The 22,678-nt window shown below is 36.4% G+C and overlaps 1 protein-coding gene across 8 annotated transcripts in view; it reads left to right on the forward strand.

Moving 5' to 3' along the window:
* Nucleotides 1-19,594, forward strand: part of NIPBL (NIPBL cohesin loading factor) — a 189,645-nt gene extending 170,051 nt beyond the window's left edge. For 3 of the 8 annotated variants that reach the window (NM_133433.4, XM_006714468.3, XM_005248282.6), the window contains 9 exons: nt 1,683-1,856; nt 2,292-2,482; nt 4,960-5,067; nt 5,547-5,747; nt 10,367-10,513; nt 12,072-12,346; nt 14,025-14,199; nt 16,971-17,159; nt 17,708-19,594. In NM_133433.4, coding sequence (NP_597677.2) covers nt 1,683-1,856; nt 2,292-2,482; nt 4,960-5,067; nt 5,547-5,747; nt 10,367-10,513; nt 12,072-12,346; nt 14,025-14,199; nt 16,971-17,159; nt 17,708-18,073 — 1,826 coding nt within the window. In that variant the 3' untranslated portion in view covers nt 18,074-19,594. Of the gene's footprint in view, nt 1-1,682; nt 1,857-2,291; nt 2,483-4,959; nt 5,068-5,546; nt 5,748-10,366; nt 10,514-12,071; nt 12,347-14,024; nt 14,200-16,970 lie in introns of those variants that run through there. The other 5 variants (NM_001438586.1, XM_017009329.2, XM_006714467.3 and 2 more) reach the window with 5 other exon arrangements.

Below are 22,678 nucleotides of genomic sequence, written 5' to 3' on the forward strand. Positions count from 1 at the left end.
TAAAGTACCTGAATTGAATGCACTTCAAAAAAATACAAGAACAGTCTGTCCAGGTTTTTGGTTTTTGTTGTTGTTTTTTTTGGTACAAATACAGTTGGCCTTCCATATCCATGGGTTTCACATCTGTGGATTTAACCACCAAGGATCAAAAATACTGAGAAAAAAAAATTACACCTGTACTAAATATGTACAGACTTTTTTTGTTATTATTCTCTAAACAATACAACAGCAATTTACATAGCATTTACATTGTATTAGATATAAATAATCTAGAGAAGATTTAAAGTATACGAGAGGATATGAGTAGATTATATGCAAATACTACCCCATTTTATATCAGGGACTTGAGAATCCACGGATTTTGGTATCCCTGGGAGGTTCTGGAGCCAATCCCCCATGGATACCGAGCAATGACTGTACACGTAAAGCTACCCAATGAGATTAAAAACTTATTTGGAAATTTTATTTTGGTGTTATGATTAAGGTTTATACTTTAATCTGCATGAGTAGTTATTTATATTAGTCTTTTGAACAAAAATGAGTAAGAAAAGATTCTAACTTACCCATACCTTATTAAATCATGTTTATGATTTCTGTAAATAAATTGAAACCTTATCATTTTATTCCTCCTCCATCCCTTTTTGAAAATTACATATAGCACATAGAGTAAAAATTCAGACATCATTTACTAAGGAGTTAAATTGATGCAATATTAACTTCAAGCCAATGTGTACCTTCAGATATTCAGTCTGGACATAATTTATACGGAGTGGCAAAACTAATAGTGTTACAAGTATTTCAGAGTACAAAAAGATGAAGTTTTAACTTAAGCAGCGCTATTCAGAAAATATTGCCTCTAGACCAGTTAATAAAAGACATCTTGCCTGGGCCATAGTTATCCTGAGTGACCTTGGGCTAGTTATCTGATCACTCTATGCTTTGAGTTTAGTTTGTTGTTTGTTACCAATAATACTTGCTATCATCAGAGATCTTCATTTTTTCCTCAAATAAACATTATATACAAATAAACATGGATGATATATTGCTACTTATTAACCCGTGGTTATAGGATTCAGCATTGTGGCCTTATTATAATGCCATATGAAAAAGAAATGGAAGATATTTTTAGCTCTGGTTTATTATATTGTTTCATCAAATGAATATATTTTAATTTTTTTTTTAAAATAATGTCAATGTAGTACCTTCTGCTGGGGATCTGAAAAATGTTTGCAGACATTATTTCTTAAATCCTGAAAACATCCCTGTGAGGTAGGTGGGTGGTAAATATTATTATCCCCATTTTACAGATGGAGAATTGAGGCACAGAGAGATTATGTGACTCACCCAAGGTCACACTACAAGTCAGTGGTGGAGCCAGGAATAGAACCCAAGACTCCTGACTCCTAATCCACTCCCCTAGCCACTAGGCCCTGCTCCCTCCTCAAGGTTTCCTCTTGTGTGAAATTCTCCTTTGAAATGCAATTTCTTGTTTTTAATTCATGGGGAAAGAAGTACCTGCTCTAATGCTTCTCTAGGTAAGGCCACCAGCATATTCTTCCAGTCATTTTAAGTTTTAATTTTTTGAAATAAGGAGCCGTTTATATAATTTATTAACATATTTATTAAATGTTTTATTTAATTTTAATATGAATATATGATGAGATTTTTCCCCTCTCCCATAGGATTTGCCTTTATTCAGCATCCAAGTCTAATGTTCGAGCAAGAAGTGAAGAATCTATATAATAATATTTTATCTGATAAGAACTCCTCAGTCAATTTAAAAATACAAGTGTTAAAAAACCTCCAGACCTACCTACAAGAAGAAGATACACGTATGCAGCAGGCAGATAGAGACTGTAAGTGAAAATATATTTTTAAATTTCATAGCTACATTTATATTATAATGGCTTTATCTTCTTTAATCTAAATATCTAAATTTCCTTATTTGTTAGATGAAGAAATTCAGTTAAATAGCAGTCCTTATGCTGAGGTCTATAGCTGGGCTTTAGCATATTCTTAAATTCTCTAAAATAGTTTTAAAATTGTATATGTGTGTAAACATTAACATTTTGAGGGAGGAAAGAGATTATAGTTCTCACTGGGTTCTCAAAGGGGCCTCTGACACAGACACACACACACACACACACACACTCACACACAGATTAAGAACCATTGAGCCAGAACACTAGCTGTAACGTTTTGTGATTTTGGTTATGGCCTAATTTTGAAATATTTAGTAAAGTTAGTATAGGTGCTCTTAATGTGTGTTTATCCTTTGCTTGCTTTTGTAGGGAAGAAAGTTGCAAAACAGGAAGACTTAAAAGAAATGGGTGATGTTTCCTCAGGGATGAGTAGTTCCATCATGCAGCTTTATCTCAAACAGGTGCTTGAGGCATTTTTTCACACCCAGTCAAGTGTACGCCACTTTGCCCTAAATGTCATTGCATTGACTCTAAATCAAGGTCTTATTCATCCAGTTCAGGTAAGCATGTTTTATGGCAGCAGCACTTACTAAAAGAGCAAGATTAGTTGTAATTTGATACATTGTGATTATAGAGAATAAGTAGTTCTTCGTTCCTCTTACTCTTCTTTGTACTAAACTCTTAAGAATCTGGCAGTTTTAGATAATCTCTTGGGTTATGATTACTGCAAAATACCCATATATTCATAATATTGTCTCTGTTATAAACTTGTAATTTCTATTGGCAGAACATATACTCAAATTATTTTTCTAAGTATGGGTGATATATTTGTTTTAATTCATATTTACTTTTGTCCCTAAGATCCAACAATCTATAATGTGAAGAGAGTTAACTGGGTTTAAAAGTATAATCTGTTCAACAGGGTGGAGTCTTAGTCCACAGAAAAGTAAATTATATAAACTCAATTCCTTCATCTTTAAGTTGGGTATAACACCAACTACTCGACACCTCATAGCATTAATATGAGGACACAACGACGTAATAAAGACATTAGTGTTACTGAAGATTGGCAGCCAATGCTGATGTAGTAGTATATACCATCTGATGGTCAAGAGAGCACCATAGGCTACAAAAGTGTATGTATTAAGTAAGCAGAGTCTATACCCTTCAAGATTTTTATTTTGGGTATTTTTCATGGAACGTTTTAAAAATATGATTTATTTAAACATACTGTGGTCTTCCCTGTGTCCTGAAACAAAACATGTTAACAAATATTTATCCTGTTCTTCATGACTCCGGGCTATTATCATAAAGAATCATACATTATAATGAAACAGTAGTACATTGAGACTGTCACCTTTTTAAACTACCGAGGGTTCTTTGTTGGGTGCTTTTTATTATATATGCCTTTTAAACTTTTTTTTTTAATTTCACACAAAGGAGTCAGGTGCAGTGGCTCACACATGTAATCCCAGCACTTTGGGAGGCAGAGGTGGGCGGATCACTTGAGTCAGGAGTTCAAAACCAGCATAGCCAACATGGCAAAACCCCGTCTCTACTAAAAATACAAAAATTAGCCAGGTGTGGTGGCACATGCCTGTGGTCCCAGCTACATGGGAGGCTGAGGCAGGAAAATTGCTTGAACCCAGGAAGCAGAGAACCCAGGAAGCAGAGGTTGCAGTGAGCTGAGACCGTGCCATTGCACTCCAGCCTGGCCAACAGAGGGAGACTCCATCTCAAAAAAAAAAAAAAAAAAATTCACACAAAGAAATTGCAAAAGTGATACGATGAATTCCTTTATTCTCTTCACCTCTATTCACCATTTGTTGACATTTTGCCACAATTGCTTTCTCTCTCTCCCTTTATACATCTGCTTTTTTCTGAATCATTTGGTAGGAAGTTTCAAGTAATTATGATTCTTTACCACTAAACACTTCAGCATATATTTTCTAAGAACAAGGACATTCTCTTACAAAACCGTAATATAATCATTAAATTTGGGAAGTTTAACACTGATACAATATTATCTAATATACAGTTCATTTGCAGATTCTGCTAGTTAACCAAGGGCGTTCTCTATAGCCTTTTTCCTCTTCTTTTTTTTTGAGGCAAGATCTTGCTCTGTTTCCCAGGCTGGAGTGCAGTGATGCAGTCTCAGCTTACCTGCAGCCTCCGCCTCCTGGATTCAAGCACTCTTCCCACCTCTGCCTCCCAAGTAGCTGAGACTACAGGTGTGCGCCACCACCTGGCTAATTTTTGTGTTTTTGTAGAGACGGGGTTTTACCATGTTGGCCAGGCTGGTCTCAAACTTCTGAGCTCAAGTAATCTGCCTGCCTCAGTGTCCCAAAGTGCTGGGATTACAGGCATGAGCCACCGCACCCACCTTACAGCCTTTTTTCTTTCCTGATTCGAGATTTAACATGATCATTTCTTTCATTTAGTGCCATGTCTGTATTTTAAAGTTAGGTTTGTTGTTGTTTTTCTGGCCTTCACATTGCTTTTTAATTCAGACTCACTTAACATAGTAGTACTGTTTTTTGACTCTAGAAGTACAGTGAATATGACTGTTATCAACTCTCTGTTCCTCAAAGCCACATCTGAAATCAACTTTGAAAAACAATTATATTTTCGTAGCTTTGAGTATGGAAAACAAATTACTGTTTGCCCTATATTATCTTTACAAGGCAAATTCAGTCAAGCTTTAAAAACTACTGGATTATACATTTGTAGTCTATATCATAATCTTAAATAGATATTCTTAGTGTGAGAATGCTTTATGTTTAAAGAACCTAAAATTTACAATGAAATTGTTTAAATTTTATCACGTCAGTATTTTTGCTGGTGCTCCAGTGCTTTCTGGATTTAAGCTGAATCTCAAAAGATCTGTCATTTTAAAAAGAACACTAAAACATAGACTTTATAGGAAGGCCTATAAGGTTAAATTCATATATCTCAGATATATGAAAAGTTTTGACATATGTCTAAATAGAGAATTTTTACTACCATGATATCTCGTAATTTTTTTTTTTATTTCCAGTGTGTGCCATATTTAATTGCTATGGGCACAGACCCAGAACCTGCTATGCGGAACAAGGCTGATCAGCAACTTGTGGAAATAGACAAAAAATATGCTGGATTCATTCATGTATGTATTTTAACATTTTATAACCTAAATTTAAACATTTTTCTTGAGTAAAGCATTTCTTTGATAAATGCTCTGCCCACATTCATAATTGGAATAAAATGTCTTACTTAGTACCTATCTTCTAAACATGCAACTAAGTTAGTCTTCCAAGGTGTTTATTCTAGTCTAAAGTTAAGGTTGGGCTAGAGGTGACAGTACCAAGCACACCAGACTAAAAATCAGGAAACCTGGATTTTATATCTTACTATGTGAACTTGGCTGCAGTGACTCTCCTGGGCCTCATTTTTTTTTTCTTCTTTGAAATGAGGGAATTGTAAGAGATAATCTCTAATGTTCCTTCTAGCACTTCATTCTGTGATTCGTATTATTTTAATTAAAAAAAAACAATGAAGCTAGCCTCAGAATGTAATGCTCTAAGTATATTTTTAATTTGTGTCTTTTAATTTCCCTGACAAAAATGAGACTTTTATTGATTTCAGATGAAAGCAGTGGCTGGTATGAAGATGTCTTACCAGGTACAACAGGCAATCAACACATGCCTAAAAGATCCTGTAAGGGGTTTCAGACAAGACGAGTCCTCTAGCGCTTTGTGTTCACACCTTTACTCCATGATCCGTGGAAACCGCCAACACAGACGAGCCTTTCTTATTTCTTTACTCAACCTCTTTGATGACACAGCAGTAAGCACAAAAACTTATTATTTTAAGAAAATAAGTGCTCTAGAAATTTTATGGATAAAGTAGTCATTTTTTAAATATTACCATTTTATTAGTATATGATAGTAACTTCATTAAGTGTTTTCTTAATCTTCTAAGTTATTTACAAAGTACACAGTCAGAAGTGAAGGGGAAATTTTGTATGAGAATAAGTGTAATGAGGAATAATGTATAATTTTGCCTCCATACTGAATATCCTATAAACTTTGATAACAGTTTCTGTAAGCGTATCTTTAAATAAGCAACATCACTAAACTAATCGCTTTGGGAACCGATTACCTCAAATATTGTTAGAGAATAACTGTTCTAGGTTTTTGGCTATTGAGATCCCTAGTTGTTCAACTTGATTTCCCTTAATGAAGGGAAGTCACTTTTCTGTATAGTAGTCCACTTTTGTGTATAGTAGTCCTCCCTTATCATTAAAGATACATTTCATGACCCCCAGTGGATGCATGAAACCATGGATAGTACTAATTATTATATATACAGTCATGCATCACTTAATGACAGGGATACATTTGGAGAAATGCATAGTTAGGCGATTTCTTTGTGGGGTGAACATCTTACTTACACAAACCTAGATGTTGTAGCCTACCTAGGCTATATTGTTCCTGGGCTACAAACCTGTACAGCATGTTACTGTACTGAATACTGTAGATAACTATAACACAATGGTAAGTATTCATGTACCTAAACATATCTAAACATAGAAAAGGTACAGTAAAAATATGATAGGATAATCTTATGGGACCATCATCATATATATAGTTTGTAATTGACTGAAACATGTTATGTGGCACATGACTGTACTGGTTTTTCCAATACATACAAACCTATGTTAAAGTTTTAATTTATAAATTAGTCACAGTAAGAGATTAACATAATAATAAAATAGAACAATTAAAACAATATACTGTAATAAAAGTTATGTGAATGGGATCTTGCTTTTCTCTCTCTCTCAAAATACCCTGTTGTAGTTTACTCACCTATTTTTGGACTATGGTTGACCAAGGGTAACTGAAACTATGGAAAGCAAAACAGCAATTGGGGAGATTACCATAATTACAATTTTGACACTTCTGGCTGTTGCACTAGTTGCATTGGCCAGGACCATAGGCCAAGAAAACTGAATATTCTTTAAAGTTTACCTTTTAATTTATTTATTTCACACAGTATTTATTCTGCATCTGCTATGTACCAGCCATTGCGCTAAGAAGTTTAACGAGCATAAAATAGTAAAAACAGATATGGTTTCTGCCCACACAGAGCACGCATGAACCTATGTGTATAGCAACTTTTAAAAGAACAAAAGAGGCCAGGAGTGGTGACTCACGCCTGTAATCCCAGCGCTTTGGGAGGCCAAGGCAGGTGGATCACAAGGTCAGGAGTTCGAGACCAGCCTGACCAACATGGTGAAACCCCATCTCTACTAAAAATATAAAAATTAGCCGGGCGTGGTGGCACGCGCCTGTAATCCCAGCTACTCAGGAGGCTGAGGCAGGAGAATTGCTTGAACCCAGGAGGCAGAGGTTGCAGTGAGCTGAGATCACGCCACTGCATTCCAGCCTGGCCGACAGAGCGAGACTCCGTCTCAAAAAAAAAAAAAAAAAAAGAACAAAAGAAATACTTTAATTACTTGTTAGCCTGACAGCAGATTTTTGCAATAAAGCAAAATTATAATTACCATAGTGCAGATATCTTACTAGACCTCTTCAAGTACTACATGAAATTTATCATCAACATTATCATCATATCATTATCAGTATTAAGTTTGCATTGTGTATAGGACACTATACGAGGAGTGCCAGATGATATAATGTAGTGCTTTTGCCCTGAAAGGATTTTCCCTCCAGCTGTGGGGATAGGATACAAAATTAATAGTGATTACGGTTAGTATATCCTGAGTGCCCTGATGGTTTGTGTTGATAATATTGTTCCAGTCCTTGTTTCTGTCCAAAAGAACTTCATTTCTATGTGATTTCACTGCCTGCTTTATGTCATTGACTAGATGTTTTGTCATCTCAGCATTTGAAATGCTAAACTGGAAACCCAGCTCTCACAATGCAATGCTTTCTTCTGACTACCTCCAACAAAGAATGTCAGAGAAGGAACAAATGCCTGAAGGCCCAGAGGGATAGAATGAGAGGGATCTGCTATATAAACCAGGGAAGGAAGATGTTCCAGTCAGGGCCAAAAAATTAATTAAAAATACAAAGATAAGAATGTGTGGGAAATAATGAATAGTTTGTTATTTGACTGGGGCAGAAAGGTCATAATGAGGAATAATATATAGAGGATCCTGTAGATGGCAAAAAAAAAAACATTGTAAGTGTGTGAATAAAATAATGAGGACAATTGCCAAAGAGCAGTTTAGGAAGATGAATTTTTTTAGCATTGTGGTCACACTGGAGGTAATAATAAATTACTATGATAACAGTAGGGGAGAAAAAGAATGGATAGTAGAGGCTGGGTGTGGTGCCTCATGCCTGTAACCCCAGCATTTGGGGAGGCCGAGGCAGATGGATCACCTGAGGTCAGGAGTTCGAGAACAGCCTGGCCAACATGGCAAAATCCTCTCTCTCCTGAAAATACAAAAAAATTAGCCAGGCATGATGGCGCGCACCTGTAGTCCCAGCTACTTGGGAGGCTGAGGCATGAGAATCACTTGAACCTGGGCAGCAGAGATTGGCAGTGAGCTGAGATCGCACCACTGCACTCCAGCTGAGCGACAGAGCGAGACTCCATCTCAACAGTAAAAAAAAAAAAAAAAAAGAATGGATAGTAGAAAAGAAAAGAAAGTTGAGGAAAGAATTAAATGAGACTGTGTGAAAAGAATAGTTAGTGGACAACTGGAATATTTTTATCTTGAGCACCTGAAACAATAATAGGATTGTTGCCAAAGTCAGATTGCAAAGGAGTTGGCTTGAGGAGTACATAAAAAGGGAGTAGTCAAAGAGGTAGGAAGAGAAAACTTAGGAAGAAGATTTCATGAAGGAAAGTGTGGGTAATAGTCAGATGCTACTGAGAAGTCAAGGAGAGTAAGAAGTGAAAAATAGAGTAGAATGGTGAACTTCGTGGACAAAAACAGTCAAGCAGTGAGGGACAAAAGCAGATTGTAATTGAAAAGGGAGGGCCAGGTGAGATGACTCATGCTTGTAATCCCAGCACCCAAGGCAGATGATAGCTTGAGCCCAGGAGTTCCATACCAGCCTGGGCAACATAGTGAGACCCTATCTCTACAAAAATTAAAAAATAAAAACTGGACAGGCCTGGTGGTATGCACCTATACTCCTAGCTACCTAGCTACTGAAGAGACCAAGGCAAAGGGATTGCTTGAGCCCAGGAGTTCAAGGTGGCAGTGAGTGGTATCATGTCTCCTTTAAAAAAAAATAGTGGGGAAGACATGGGAGGAGCAGTCTAAACTATTCTTTGAAGAACTTTGAAAGGAAAGAGAAATACAGGGCTTTTATGGATGTTGAAGAAAATATGTATATTTTCTTCAATATTATATGAGTTTTGAAAATATATGAATTATAGTGTTAAAACTAATAGATGAGGTAGGGTTTTATGTCTACATTTTTTCATCTGTAACGTGGGTGTTGATACATATTGTAAAGTAAAAATAGAGTGAGAGTGATACTCTTATGAATATTAATAGCAAGGTTATTCCATCTGTGCTATGGGATCTTGCTGCTGCTGCTGTTGGGTTTTATGTTGTTTCCATGGCAGGGGAAGGTAGATGGTAGGAGTGAGTGTTTTTTAGTTGTGAGCTTTTTTTTTCCTTGAGCTATAAATATTTAAAAGAAATTTGAATATTAATATGCCTTTCTGTTTATGATCATGAAATGCTTGAATTCTCTATTACTTCTTTTTAAAGCAAGCAACTAAATAATCATAATTTTTCTCTTAAATTTTGCCTGCCTCACAGTTTTTACAGTGTGAAACTGATAGCATTGTCAAAACAACTCTGACATTCTGAATTACATATACACAGGAAACTGACAAATGTTTATGAGTACATGGGATTTGGGTTTTTTCTTTTAACCTATGTATTAGTACTATAATTACTAGTTATTTTGAGGGCAGAATAGTAACTGTGTGTAACTGATCTCCATATAGGTTAAACTCTTAGTAGCACAATGATATAACTAGAACTTTCATGTATACTTTCTGATATGGTATGGATTTATCATAAAGATTCCATATACTCTAAGAAAACTTCAAGGAATTTCACATGGATGCAATAAAAAATTTCACCTCTTCTCTTGAGATAGCATAGTGTAAGTCATTATAAAATTAAAAAAAATGGGCCTAAGATTATTTTATAAAATTCCATTTCTGTTCCCCCTTTTCCCTTTTTGTTACACCTGTCTCCCTTTCCCTTTTTCCCCCCTCTATATTTCTCTCCCTCCTCCTCTCCCTCTGTCTCTCTGTGTCTCTCCCCACTCTCTCCGTGTGTGTCTGCTTATCTCTGTCTAACATTAAGTGAGGTGAAAGTGCCCTGTATTTTTTCTAAAAAAGGTTTTTTGGTTGGGTTTCTAGATTATCCGCTAAACATGTGTGCTTTTTCTTAAAATTTACAGAAAACAGACGTGACTATGCTCTTGTATATAGCAGACAATCTAGCCTGTTTTCCATACCAGACACAGGAAGAGCCGTTGTTTATAATGCATCATATAGACATTACACTCTCAGTTTCTGGTAGTAACCTACTGCAGTCATTCAAGGAGGTAAGTTACACACATTACTATTCTTAATCCATCTGTCAAAGTGCAGGCATGCTGTTTTCACTGTTTTGTTTCTCATTATTCTTTTTATCCTCTTCACGAGTATATAAAATCTTTCTAAGTGAACTTAATGAAATCTGGGCAATACTTGACTTGGGAGAGGATGTACATTGCCACTTTACCTCTATTTAGAAACATCTAAAATAGATATATGGATTGTTCTGTTGATAAGCCATCACATTTATTTCTCTCACTTTAAGCACTGACCTTAAGTGTTTGCATCCATTCATACATTCATTTAAACTCCATTTTAAAACATTATTCTGTAAATCTTGTAATGCTGTAATCACAACATTACACATGAAAATATATAGCTTATTTACACTTAAACAGAAAATTTATGACACCATTGACTTTCTTATCCCTCAACTACAGCACCGTTATAGAGTTTGCATATGTGTGCCCAAAATCTTTGCTAAATTTCTTGTTGAACCTTCCATTGTTTCTGTCATGACTTTTAGGAGGAATGTAATTTATTTAATTATAAAAGTACCTGGTGTAGCACTAGGCATATAGTAAGCACTCAGTAAATTCTTTACAAATTGAATATTCTCATGTATCTAATGATCCAAGTAGATCTCATTTTATAAAATTGTATTGCTCACAACTCAGCCTTGTCAGACTAGTAAATCAGACAGATTATTTTAGATGCCTCCTGAGGGCTGGAATTACAGAGGTGTCTTAAACCCTTACTACTTGAAGTATAGACCACACACCAGCAGCAGTGGTTTCACCTGAGAGCTTATTAAAGCTGTAGAACCTCAGGCCCCACCCAGATTTGCTGAAACAGAATCTGCATCTTCAACAAAATCCACAGATGTTAATGTGCACATTTAAGTTTGAGAAGTTAATAATTTCCCAGGAGCTTTAGCCCTCATGTTCTCTTATTTTACCTACTTACTGGTATGGCTATCTTTGTAAATGTTTCTTCCACTTTTGAAGAAATGTTGTTATAATGTGCCCCACACACACACACCACACAAACTGCTTAAGTCCAGTTGACTTTGTTTCTAAGAGCTAACATTTTCATAAAGTACAAAGAAACAGGATTTAAGTCTTCAGAGAAAATTGCTTATTATCTTGCCGAAATGTTCTTGAAAAGGAGAGTTTGCTAGAAGCTGGGATGTCCAAGATTACTTTATTCTCCTCAGTTAAATTATAATTACTGCTTTTCCTCATAATGACTTACCTATGCACCAAATTGATACTTTTATAACTATCTTTTATTACTGTCCTTAGAAGAAAATTGTTTCCCTTTGAATGATATTTCAGAAGGATTTTTTTGAAGGAGTGGTTGTAGGGGAGGGGGTGGATATTATATATAATTTTATTTAGTTTTAGAAACTATCCCCTAAGATTACATATCCAGTTGTTGATATAAAGTCAAGAGGTTTATAAAATATTAGTTTAAGGAAGCTTTTTCAAGCTGTTGAATGGAGCATACTTATATTTACTAGTGGCATTTTGTTTTTATTGTTTATCAAACGATTTTTTCTTTCAGTCTATGGTAAAGGACAAAAGGAAAGAGAGAAAATCATCACCTAGTAAGGAAAATGAGTCAAGCGACAGTGAAGAAGAAGTTTCCAGGCCTCGGAAGTCACGGAAACGTGTAGATTCAGATTCAGATTCAGATTCAGAAGACGATATAAATTCAGTGATGAAATGTTTGCCAGAAAATTCAGCTCCTTTAATCGAATTTGCAAATGTGTCCCAGGGTATTTTATTACTTCTCATGTTAAAACAACATTTGAAGAATCTTTGTGGATTTTCTGATAGGTAAGGTTACATAAGCAGTGAGAGAAAAAACTTCACTCTGTTCAAATAATAAATATTTGGGCTGGGTGTGGTGGCTCATGCCTGTAATCCCAACATTTTGGGAGGCTGAGGCGGGCAGATCCCCTGAGGTCAGGAGTTCGAGACCAGCCTGGCCAACATGGTGAAACGCCATCTCTATTAAAAATACAAAAATTAGCCTAGTGTGGTGGTGCACGCCTGTGACCCCAGCTACTCAGGAGACTGAGGCAGGAAAATCGCTTAAACCTGGGAGGCGGAGATTGCAGTGAGCTGAGATTACGCCACTGCACTCCAGCCTGGGCAACAGAGCAAGACTCTGTCTAAAAAAATAATAATAAATATGAAACCCAGTTTTGTTTGCATGCTTACTTTAATGTTAGAAATGTTCCTTTTTTAAAAAGGAGTTTATTCTCTTCTATTGCTGGATAGTATTCTATTGTGTAATATGCCATAATTTATTTTTATTAAAGGGAAAAAAACATATTCCTATACTTGGTGATAATGCATTACAAATTGAAGGACTTATTTTGTTGATTTCCTTAAAAAGACTCAAGCTAACCTTAAAATAGATTACAAGTTTAAGTTTTTAAAGAGCTCTGAAGTAACAGATGTAAACCAACTAAACAGAGCTCCAGTAGAACTCAAATAGTATTTAAAGTACTCTATAAAGTAAGAGAGAGAAAAGGTACAGCTATTATAAACACCCTGTAGTTTTACCCACCAGTAGTCATTAAAGATACCTCTTTTCTGCCTGTAACCATGGAATTTTGGTCATTTTTTACATTCATTGAAATCTAAGATTAGGAATCACAAAATCAAATGTTAATAGGCTACCTGGTCAATGGCCAACTGGAAAGAGTGTGTTGCATGTAAAGAGGTCATTTAAGTGGACCTGTCTCAAGTTTCCATAAGCTTGTTGCCAAAGGAGAGGGTAGGCATAATGTGGCTAGAGCTCCCACTTTTTCAGGAGACACTAGAAATCCAGATTTTTAAGAGGAATATCTGTATTTGCAACAGGGTCTCGCTCTGATGCCCAGGTGGAGTGCAGTTATGCAATCATAAACTCCTGGGCTCAAGTAATCCTCCTACTTCAGCCACCTGAGTAGCTGGGAGTACAGATGCATGCCACCACACCCAGCTAATTTTTTTTATTTTTTACTTGTAGAGATGATGTCTAGTTGTGTTGCTCATGGTAGTCTTGAACTCCTGGCCTCAAGTGATCCTCCCACACTGGCCTCCCAAAACTCTGAGATTATAGGCATGAGCCACTGCTCCTGGCCTTATAAGGAATATCTTGATGTTAAATGTTGGCAAGATGCAAAATAATTTAAAACCTTGTAAGGTTTTGAGGCAATGCTAAGGAGTTGGAAAGATTTTTAAGCAGAGTTGTTAATAACCTGAAACAGGTTTATAAACAATCATTCTGGCCACTATATAGAGGATGGATAGGTTGGGGGTGGGGGAGCAACTAGTAGAAAGAGGTAAACCAGTTAGGTGGTATTAAGTAATTGTATTGAAGCTGTCCTAGGATCACAATAGTATTAAAAATAGACATGAGAAACTAATTTCATTAATATGGTGCTTCCTACCTATAATTGGATTTCTCCAAATACGTTGTTTCCATAGTTTTAAAGTTTTTGGTTTTGTTTTCCCAAAACAGTAAAATTCAGAAGTACTCTCCATCTGAATCTGCAAAAGTATATGATAAAGCGATAAACCGAAAAACAGGAGTTCATTTTCATCCAAAACAAACACTGGACTTCCTGCGGAGTGACATGGCTAATTCCAAAATCACAGAAGAGGTGAAAAGGAGTATAGTAAAACAGTATCTAGATGTGAGTAGTAAAACCAAAAGTTTTTACTTCTCATAAGGGCTTTTTTGACAAGTAAATGTGGGGGGCCGGTGGGGAGATAACTATCTCCTTCACATTGAATATAAGCTTCATGAACTATCAAGATAATTTTTCTCTATCTTATTTTAATGAGTTACTTTAAGCTTGTCTTTCCCATTGCACCCATGGCATCCTAATTATTTTTTCTTAGGAAACAGCAGCCCACGAATAATTTTATTTTAGCAAAAATGAAAGATTATAGGAAAACCTGTGTGTGTTTTGTAGTTGTCCCCTGGTATCTGCGGGAAATTGGTTCCAGTCCCCCCATGGATACCCAAATCCTCCGATATTCAAGGGCCTGATAAAAAAATGGCGTAGTGGGCTGCGTGAGGTGGCTCACACCTGTCATTCCAGTGCTTTGGGAGGCCATGGCAGGTGGATCACTTGAGCTCAGGAGTTTGAGACCAGCCTGGGCAACATGGCAAATCCCCGTATCTATAAAAAATACAAAAAATTACCTGGGGGCAGTGGTGTGCACCTGTAGTCCCAGCTACTCAGGAGGCTGAGGCAGGAGAAGTGCTTGAGCCTGAGAGGCAGAGGTTACAGTGACCTGAGATTGCACCATTACACCCCATACTGGGTGACAGGAGTGAAACCCTGTCTCAAAAAAATTATTTAAAAAGCATAGTATTTGCATATAACCTACATACATCCTCCCATATGCTTTAAGTCATTTCTAGATTACTTATAATACCTAATACAATGTAAATGCTATATACATAGTTGTTATACTGCATTTTTTTTAAGTTGTATTTTTTATTGTAATGCTGTTTGTTTTGTTTTGAGACGGAGTTTCACTCTTGTTGCCCAGGCTGGAGTGCAATGGCGCGATCTCGGCTCACCGCAACTTCTGCCTCCCAGGTTCAAGCAAGTCTCCTGCCTCAGCCTCCCGCATAGCTGGGATTACAGGCGCCAGCCACCACGCCCGGCTAATTTTTGTATTTTTAGTAGAGATGGGGTTTCACCATGTTGGCCAGGCTGGTCTCAAACTCCTGACCTCAGGTGATCCGCCGGCCTCCCAAAGTGCTGGGATTACAGGCATGAGCCACCATACCTGGCCAGTGCTGTTATTTTTTATTGTGGCATTTTCCAAATAGTTTTTGATCCACTGTGGGTTGAATCCGCAGGTGCGGAATCCGGGGATACAGAGGGCTATGTTTTTAATTCAGAAAAATACATGGCTTATATGTCATAAAAGGTAAAACTGCAAGCAGTCATTCTCTTACCGTGTTTGGCTATTCTGTTCCTTTCTTTTCTGATAACCAATATTATTACTTTTTCGTATGTTCTTATATGAGTAATGCCAATATATATATATGTAGATTTTCTCACTTATCAAGTATGCAAATGTATGTATATAAAATGTGCTTTAAAAATAGAGACAGATAATAGACTAGAGGTTACCAAGGACCGGGGAAGGAAAGAACGGGGAGTTATTGTTTAATGAGGACAGCTGTGGTTTCCAGTGATTAAAAAAAAAAAGAAACAGCTCTGGAAATGGACAGTGGTGATAGTTGTACAATATGCCAATGAATTATACATTTAAAATGGTTAAACTGGTAGGCTGGACATGCTGGCTTATACCTGTAATCTTAGCACCTTGGGAGGCCTATGTAGGAGGTTTGCTTGAGTCCAGGAAGTCCAGGCCAGCCTGAGCAACAGGGTGAGACCCTGTCTCTACAAAAAATACAAACATTAGCCAGACATGGCGGTGTGCACCTGTAGTCCCAACTGCTGGGGAGGCTGAGGTGGGAGGACCACCTAAGCCTGGGAGGTGGAGGCTACAGTGAGCCATGATCGTGCCACTGCACTTCAGCCTGAGTGACAGAGTGAGACCCTGTCTCAATTTAAAAAGAAAAAAAAAAAGGGTTAAGCTGGCAAATTTTATGATATTTCTATTTTATCACAATATAAAAGTTTTTAAAAATGTTTTTGAAATTAGAGGACTATCCTAAAAAATAAAAATAAAGTTTTATATTTTAATCTACTTAATTTCAGGTGTAGTGGCTCACAAGCACTTTGGGAGGCTGAGGTGGGCAGATCACTCGAGGCCAGAGGTTTGACACCAGTTTGGCCAACATTGCAAAACCCCATTTCTATTTTTCTTAAAAAAATTTTTAAAAATCTACTTTAAAGCAAGTAGCTGAACATAAAATAAGGTTTTTTGAACTAAGAATATAATCTACACAGTGGCTTTTCATATTATTCATTGACTGCAAACCTTACTCTAAAATTTAAAAATATTTTAGTTCTTATTTAAAATTTTTCAACATTCTTTGCTTTCTCTTGTATCGTCTTAGCAGAGAGCAAAGAGGGGAGATAACTAGAAAATGTCTATCAGTAATTATCACCTGATTGCTTGATGACTTGGACCAAGGGTCTGAAAACTCTGGCTGTTTTTGTATCTAACCCATTGCCTGTTTTTGCAAACAAAGTTTTATTGAAAACATTCATGCCCACTCATTTATTTGTCTGTAGCTGCTTTCATACTACAGTGGCAGAGTTGGGTAGTTGTGACAGACTATTTGACCTTCAAAATGAAAAATATTTACCACCTGGCTGTTTACAGAAAATGTTTACTAGCCCCTAATTTAGATGATGGCTAACGTCTGTTTCACCCACACCAAACTACTGCCATAGAAAACATTTAGGAATTTGACAATCTTGCTTGAAATATTTACTTAAAATTCTGAAATAATATCTGTTTTTTGTAGTTCAAACTTCTCATGGAACATCTGGACCCTGATGAAGAAGAAGAAGAAGGGGAGGTTTCAGCTAGCACAAATGCTCGGAACAAAGCAATTACCTCACTGCTTGGAGGAGGCAGCCCTAAAAATAATACAGCAGCAGAGACAGAAGATGATGAAAGTGATGGGGAGGATAGAGGAGGAGGCACTTCAGGGGTGAGGCGGAGGAGGAGTCAACGTATTTCGCAGCGTATTACGTAAAATGATTTTTATGTGCTTATATATGTCAGTCTATTAAATGTACACCAAGTAATGTAATACTTAAAAGAGAAAACATTTTGTAGATAGAGATTCTCTACTTACCCGTTTATACATCCTTTTGTAGAAAGTTTAACATAAAAGACAATAAAAAAACAGAAATGAGATTTATCCAGCATAAAGGGTTAATTTTTCTTTGAATTGTATTAATGTGTGTTATTTTTATTGTTGCTAAGTTTTATGTAGCTATATGGTTCATATGTATATATAATTTTATATATCAATAAGAGTAAAGACACGGGTACAAATTAAGAGTTATATGGTTTTACAAGTATATGTTAACCCCTTGGCGCTGGCGGTCACGGTGCGTCTCATTGCCGGCAATGGAAGTGTGCCGGGAAATCCCAACTCCCGGCGTCAAGGGATTAAAAGCAATAAAAACAATAATTTCACTAAAATTCTTTTGTGTAACACTTGGTCTTTTTTCCCCCCTCCCAATGTTTTAGTCATTGAGAAGGTCAAAACGAAATTCAGACTCTACGGAGTTGGCAGCACAGATGAATGAAAGTGTTGACGTCATGGATGTCATCGCTATTTGCTGTCCAAAGTACAAAGATCGACCACAAATTGCAAGAGTAGTGCAGAAAACCAGCAGTGGCTTCAGTGTTCAGTGGATGGCAGGCTCCTACAGTGGCTCCTGGACTGAGGCTAAGCGCCGTGATGGCCGCAAACTGGTGCCTTGGGTAGACACTATTAAAGAGTCAGACATTATTTACAAAAAAATTGCTCTAACGAGTGCTAATAAGCTGACTAATAAAGTTGTTCAGACTTTACGATCCCTGTATGCCGCCAAGGATGGGACTTCCAGCTAATGAATTTGTACATGCAGCCAAATTTACAGGAATTTTTTTAAAAGGCAGAAAAACTTGAAATACCAACATTCTGGCAAAAAAAAATCAGTTTTATGAAGAGTAAGTGGAACCTGGGATGCAGGAACAAAAGAAGGAAATGTTGGGCAAACATTTTTGTGGGAGCTCCCTTCGCTGTTGTGCAGCAGAAACAGATTCTCAGTTCATTTTTACTCCCACTGTATTATAGTTTAACAAAAATTGTTTATATCTTGGAAAAAAAACTTTCTGTTTAAAAAAAATAAACAAGTGAATGTTGGAAATTAGTCTGTTAATGTTCTTAATAAAGTGTTCTTGGAGTTTAACCTAGCAGCGGATGGCTTTCTTTAGCTTAGCCCAGTTTCCAGGGAAGCATTGTTTTTTCCAGGCTGTAAAATGGCAGAATCTCCTGGATATATAATTTATTCTGTTGAAAAAAAAAAAAGCATGCAGTATCTATGACCTATCTGCAGAAGGAGTTTTTGTAAATGTAGATTTTGATGTATTAGGTCACCCTGAAAACAATACAAGAAAAGGGATCCCCAGGTAATCTGGTGGAGCGAATACTGCAATAAATTTTTTTACTTCTCTTTGTTACTTGTCTGTTTCCATTTGAATTTCTTATTGTAAAAATCTGTTTAAATCCATTTATATTATTTTACAGTCTTTTATGTAAAATTTATTATATCACTGGTTTTCAAAGCAAAACATAAAATATTGTTTATACAGTTTGTATAGGCTGACTTCTGAATAATTGGTATCTATTATTTTCATTCCCATAAGAGGGTGTAAACAATTAACTCCAGGGTTTTATTGTATCCTGCAATATTTAGTATTAACTATATATGATTTAGCACTGTGCCAAACACATTTTCAAGAGTACATTTTGATATAAAAAGAAACTATAGTTTATTCCTTGTATGCTTCAATTTCTTTCTAGTGATGTCATGATGCTGATATTTATTCTTTAAACCTCGGGTAAAGGTAACCTGTTATTTGGAAAACCAGCATTTCTCTTGGTTAAAATGATGTCCGGTTATTTTAGAACTAGAGTTGAGATGAATATGACACTTCATAATTACACTCACTACATTTTTCACAAATTATTTTTTAATGCTGAAAAGAGTAATTTTACTTGTTGAGATGTTTATTCATTTTCTAATCTATGCTAAAAGCTTTTATCATAAGTCTTGGGAACAGTTGTCATTTACACATTACTTACTGCAGATATCTTGACTAAATCAGGAGGGAGGTGTTTAATCATTTGATATGTATAGTTGACACTCAGGAATAGTAATGCCTAAAATTTACAGTGGATGAGGTCTGTTTCAAGTTTAATTCTTTTTAAAAATGTTTTACTTATTTTTAAATCACTTTGAAAAAATTGACCTCCAGAATGCTGTTTTATGAAATTGGCAAATAAATGAAGGTATTCAATTTTTGAGGAAGAATGACATTGCCACAAAATACCTTTTTGTGACACCTATTAAACCACTATGAAAATAACTTTTCAGGATCTATTTCCTATGTGGAATTCTTTCAAATGCTTTCTTCACGGAAATGTTTTCTCACTCTTCGTTTTGTTCCCCTTACTTACATGTTTCTCTTTTCCTTATACTGTGAACTCTGGAACAAAACTAGATTGGGTTGGTTGGTTGGTTGGTTGGTTCTTCTTGGAGTTTATGTATATCAACAAAGGATTTGAGGTCACTTCTGAGAATAATATATCAAAAAGGGTACTGGTTAGAGAAAATATAAGAATAAAATCCAGCCCAGAGAGAGTACTAAGAATGTAAATGTGAGTAAAAAGCCAGTTTTGAATTCTATTTACGTGACAGTGATGCATGCTGTCATTTAATTCTCACAAAAACTCTCGTTATATATTTTATCCTCATTTTGTAGATGAGGATAGCAGGCTTAGAAGGATTTGGTAATTTACTAATGTCATGATAGGGATTTAAATCTGGAATTGAAGTAATTGTGTCTCACTACTCTAAGCTAATTGAACATCAGACATTAAGAGAGATGATCCTTATTGAAGTAAACCAGTTCCTAAAGGATCCTTGTAGTATACATACTTGGGAATCCTGTTCAGAGTAATTTTTAGGAAGTAGGTACACAGTAGTAAGTCTTCTGTTGCCTCAGTTGGCCATAGATGGAATTCTGTGTTTGCCACTCATTAGAAATTTAGGAATTTTAGGCAGGGCACGGTGGCTCACACCTGTAATCCCAGCACTTTGGGAGGCCGAGGCGGGCAGATCACCTGAAGTCAGGAGTTCAAGACCAGCCTGACCAACATGGGGAAACCCCGTCTCTACTAAAAATACAAAATTAGCCGGGCGTGGTGGTGCATACCTGTAATCCCAGCTACTCGAGAGGCTGAGGCAGGAGAATCGCTTGAACCCAGGAGGCGGAGGTTGCGGTGAGCCGAGATCACGCCATAGCACTCCAGCCTGGGCAACAAGAGCGAAACTCCATCTCAAAAAAGAAAAAGAAATTTAGGAATTTTAGGAATCAGTTTTGAAATTTTGTATATATTCTAAGCTCCTATTTTATCTGTTAATAGAAGCCAAATGTTAATATAAGCCTTAACTCTTAAATATACAAACCAAAATTTTCAGAAAGTTGAAGATTCTTCAAGATGAATTGTTAGGTCTTAACACTATTAAAGCTTTGGCAGTCAAATATACAAAATCAAACTTTAAGTATATTGGGGATTCACAAAGTTCTATTAAGTATTTAGAAAGTTCAGTCTTACTCTATAGTGTGTTGATTAATTACCATAGATTAATCTTGTTATATTGACTTGAAAAGATAGGTTATATTTGATATAAAAATTTTCAAGTATCTCTTCACTTTTTAAGTACATTAATATGAAATTTTAGCCTTATTGAAATTGTTTATTAAGAAAGAATGGCTAGTTTTAAAAATATGTTCATACCAAAATACACATGGCAGAAAATTCAGTGATCTCTAGAATTTTCTAGATGTAGTAATCTCTAATGGAAGAAATGCTGAGTTTTTTGAGAGAAATATATAGCTTACTCTGTTGATAGGTTGAGTATTTGAATTATTCAGGTAACTGAAGCACACAGGTGATTTTTATGACCATAGTCTGTCTCATGAAAACAGGTAAGTCAAACTGATGTTTGTTCAATACAGATTTCATGATCAGCAAGCAAATTTACCGTATTTTTATTTAGAAATAAATTAACCAGGGAAGTATGTGGTTCTCCCTCCCCTACCCACCACTTTTAGTTGCACAGAAAAATTCATCCTTGTCACTACCTGTGTCCAGGTGGTCTGCATCTTCAGAACTGTGGATATGGATAATTGGAATAAGATTACTTTTGCAAATATAAAACTCATCAGATTACCCACTTGAAATAATGTAATTTGAAACACTTGATAGTAATTTTTGCCCCATAAAAATCCTACGTGTTTGAACCTTTTGCTGTTTGCCTTGCTCATTTTAAAACCAAAGTTTGTTTAGTCCTATAGCTAATGTTTGTCATAGGCAGCATTTGTTACAAAATGATTTTACTAATTTTTCACTTGAATTTTTTTCTGAAATACAGTCTGTCCTATTGGTGCTAGCCGAGAAACAATTACATGCAAATTTAGTGTAATAGAAAGTCACTGACCAAACAAATTCAGTTTGGTACTCTGTTGACTAAGTGGTCATAAAGTTCCTGTGTGTTTTGCATGATGATGTGAGTACCAAGCCACCCTTCGTTTTTAAGACCCCAATTGTATATGGCTTCACTGCTGAGAGTGGTACGGTGTACACAATTATTTTTCTTATAAGAATTTTGTAAATTATTTTTACTTTAAGAGAATCTCCATTTACCCATTCCTCTGTTTCAGTCATTCTGAATTTCTGACCAAATTTATTTGAGCTGTACTCCATGCACCCCTTTCCACTCTTTCTGAAACAAGTCTCAGGCATCATTTTATTTTATCCATAAATAGGTTATCTTTTTTTTTTTTTTTTTTTTTTTTTGAGACGGAGTCTTGCTCTGTCGTCCAGGCTGGAGTGCAGTGGCCCCATCTCAGCTCACTGCAAGCTCCGCCTCCCATGTTCACACCATTCTGCCTCAGCCTCCCGAGTAGCTGGGACTACAGGCGCCCGCCACCATGCCCGGCTAATTTTTTGTATTTTTAGTAGAGACGGGGTTTCACCATGTTAGCCAGGATGGTCTCAATCTCCTGACCTCACGATCTACCCACGTCAGCCTCCCAAAGTGCTGGGATTACAGGCGTGAGCCACCGTGCCCAGCCCCATAAATAGGTTATCTTTAAATATTCTTCCTTGATATCAAATATCCAGTAAGTGTTTAAATTTTTTATTTTCTCATAAATGTCATATTTTTTAGGTCCTTTCTGTAGGCTTTCTCATGTCTTTTTATTCCTTGCAAATTTCTTATATTGAAAACACAAGTATTTTTCCTTGGGTTCTTAAGTAGATTCTAGGGGCTGGGCGCGGTGGCTCATGCCTGTAATCCCAGCATTTTGGGAGGCCAAGGCGGGCGGATCAAGAGGTCAGGAGTTCAAGACCAGCCTGGCCAACATGGTGAAACCCTCTCTCTA

Source organism: Homo sapiens, chromosome 5 (assembly GCF_000001405.40).
Source record: "Homo sapiens chromosome 5, GRCh38.p14 Primary Assembly".
In the NCBI taxonomy this organism is placed as follows: Eukaryota; Metazoa; Chordata; class Mammalia; order Primates; family Hominidae; genus Homo; species Homo sapiens.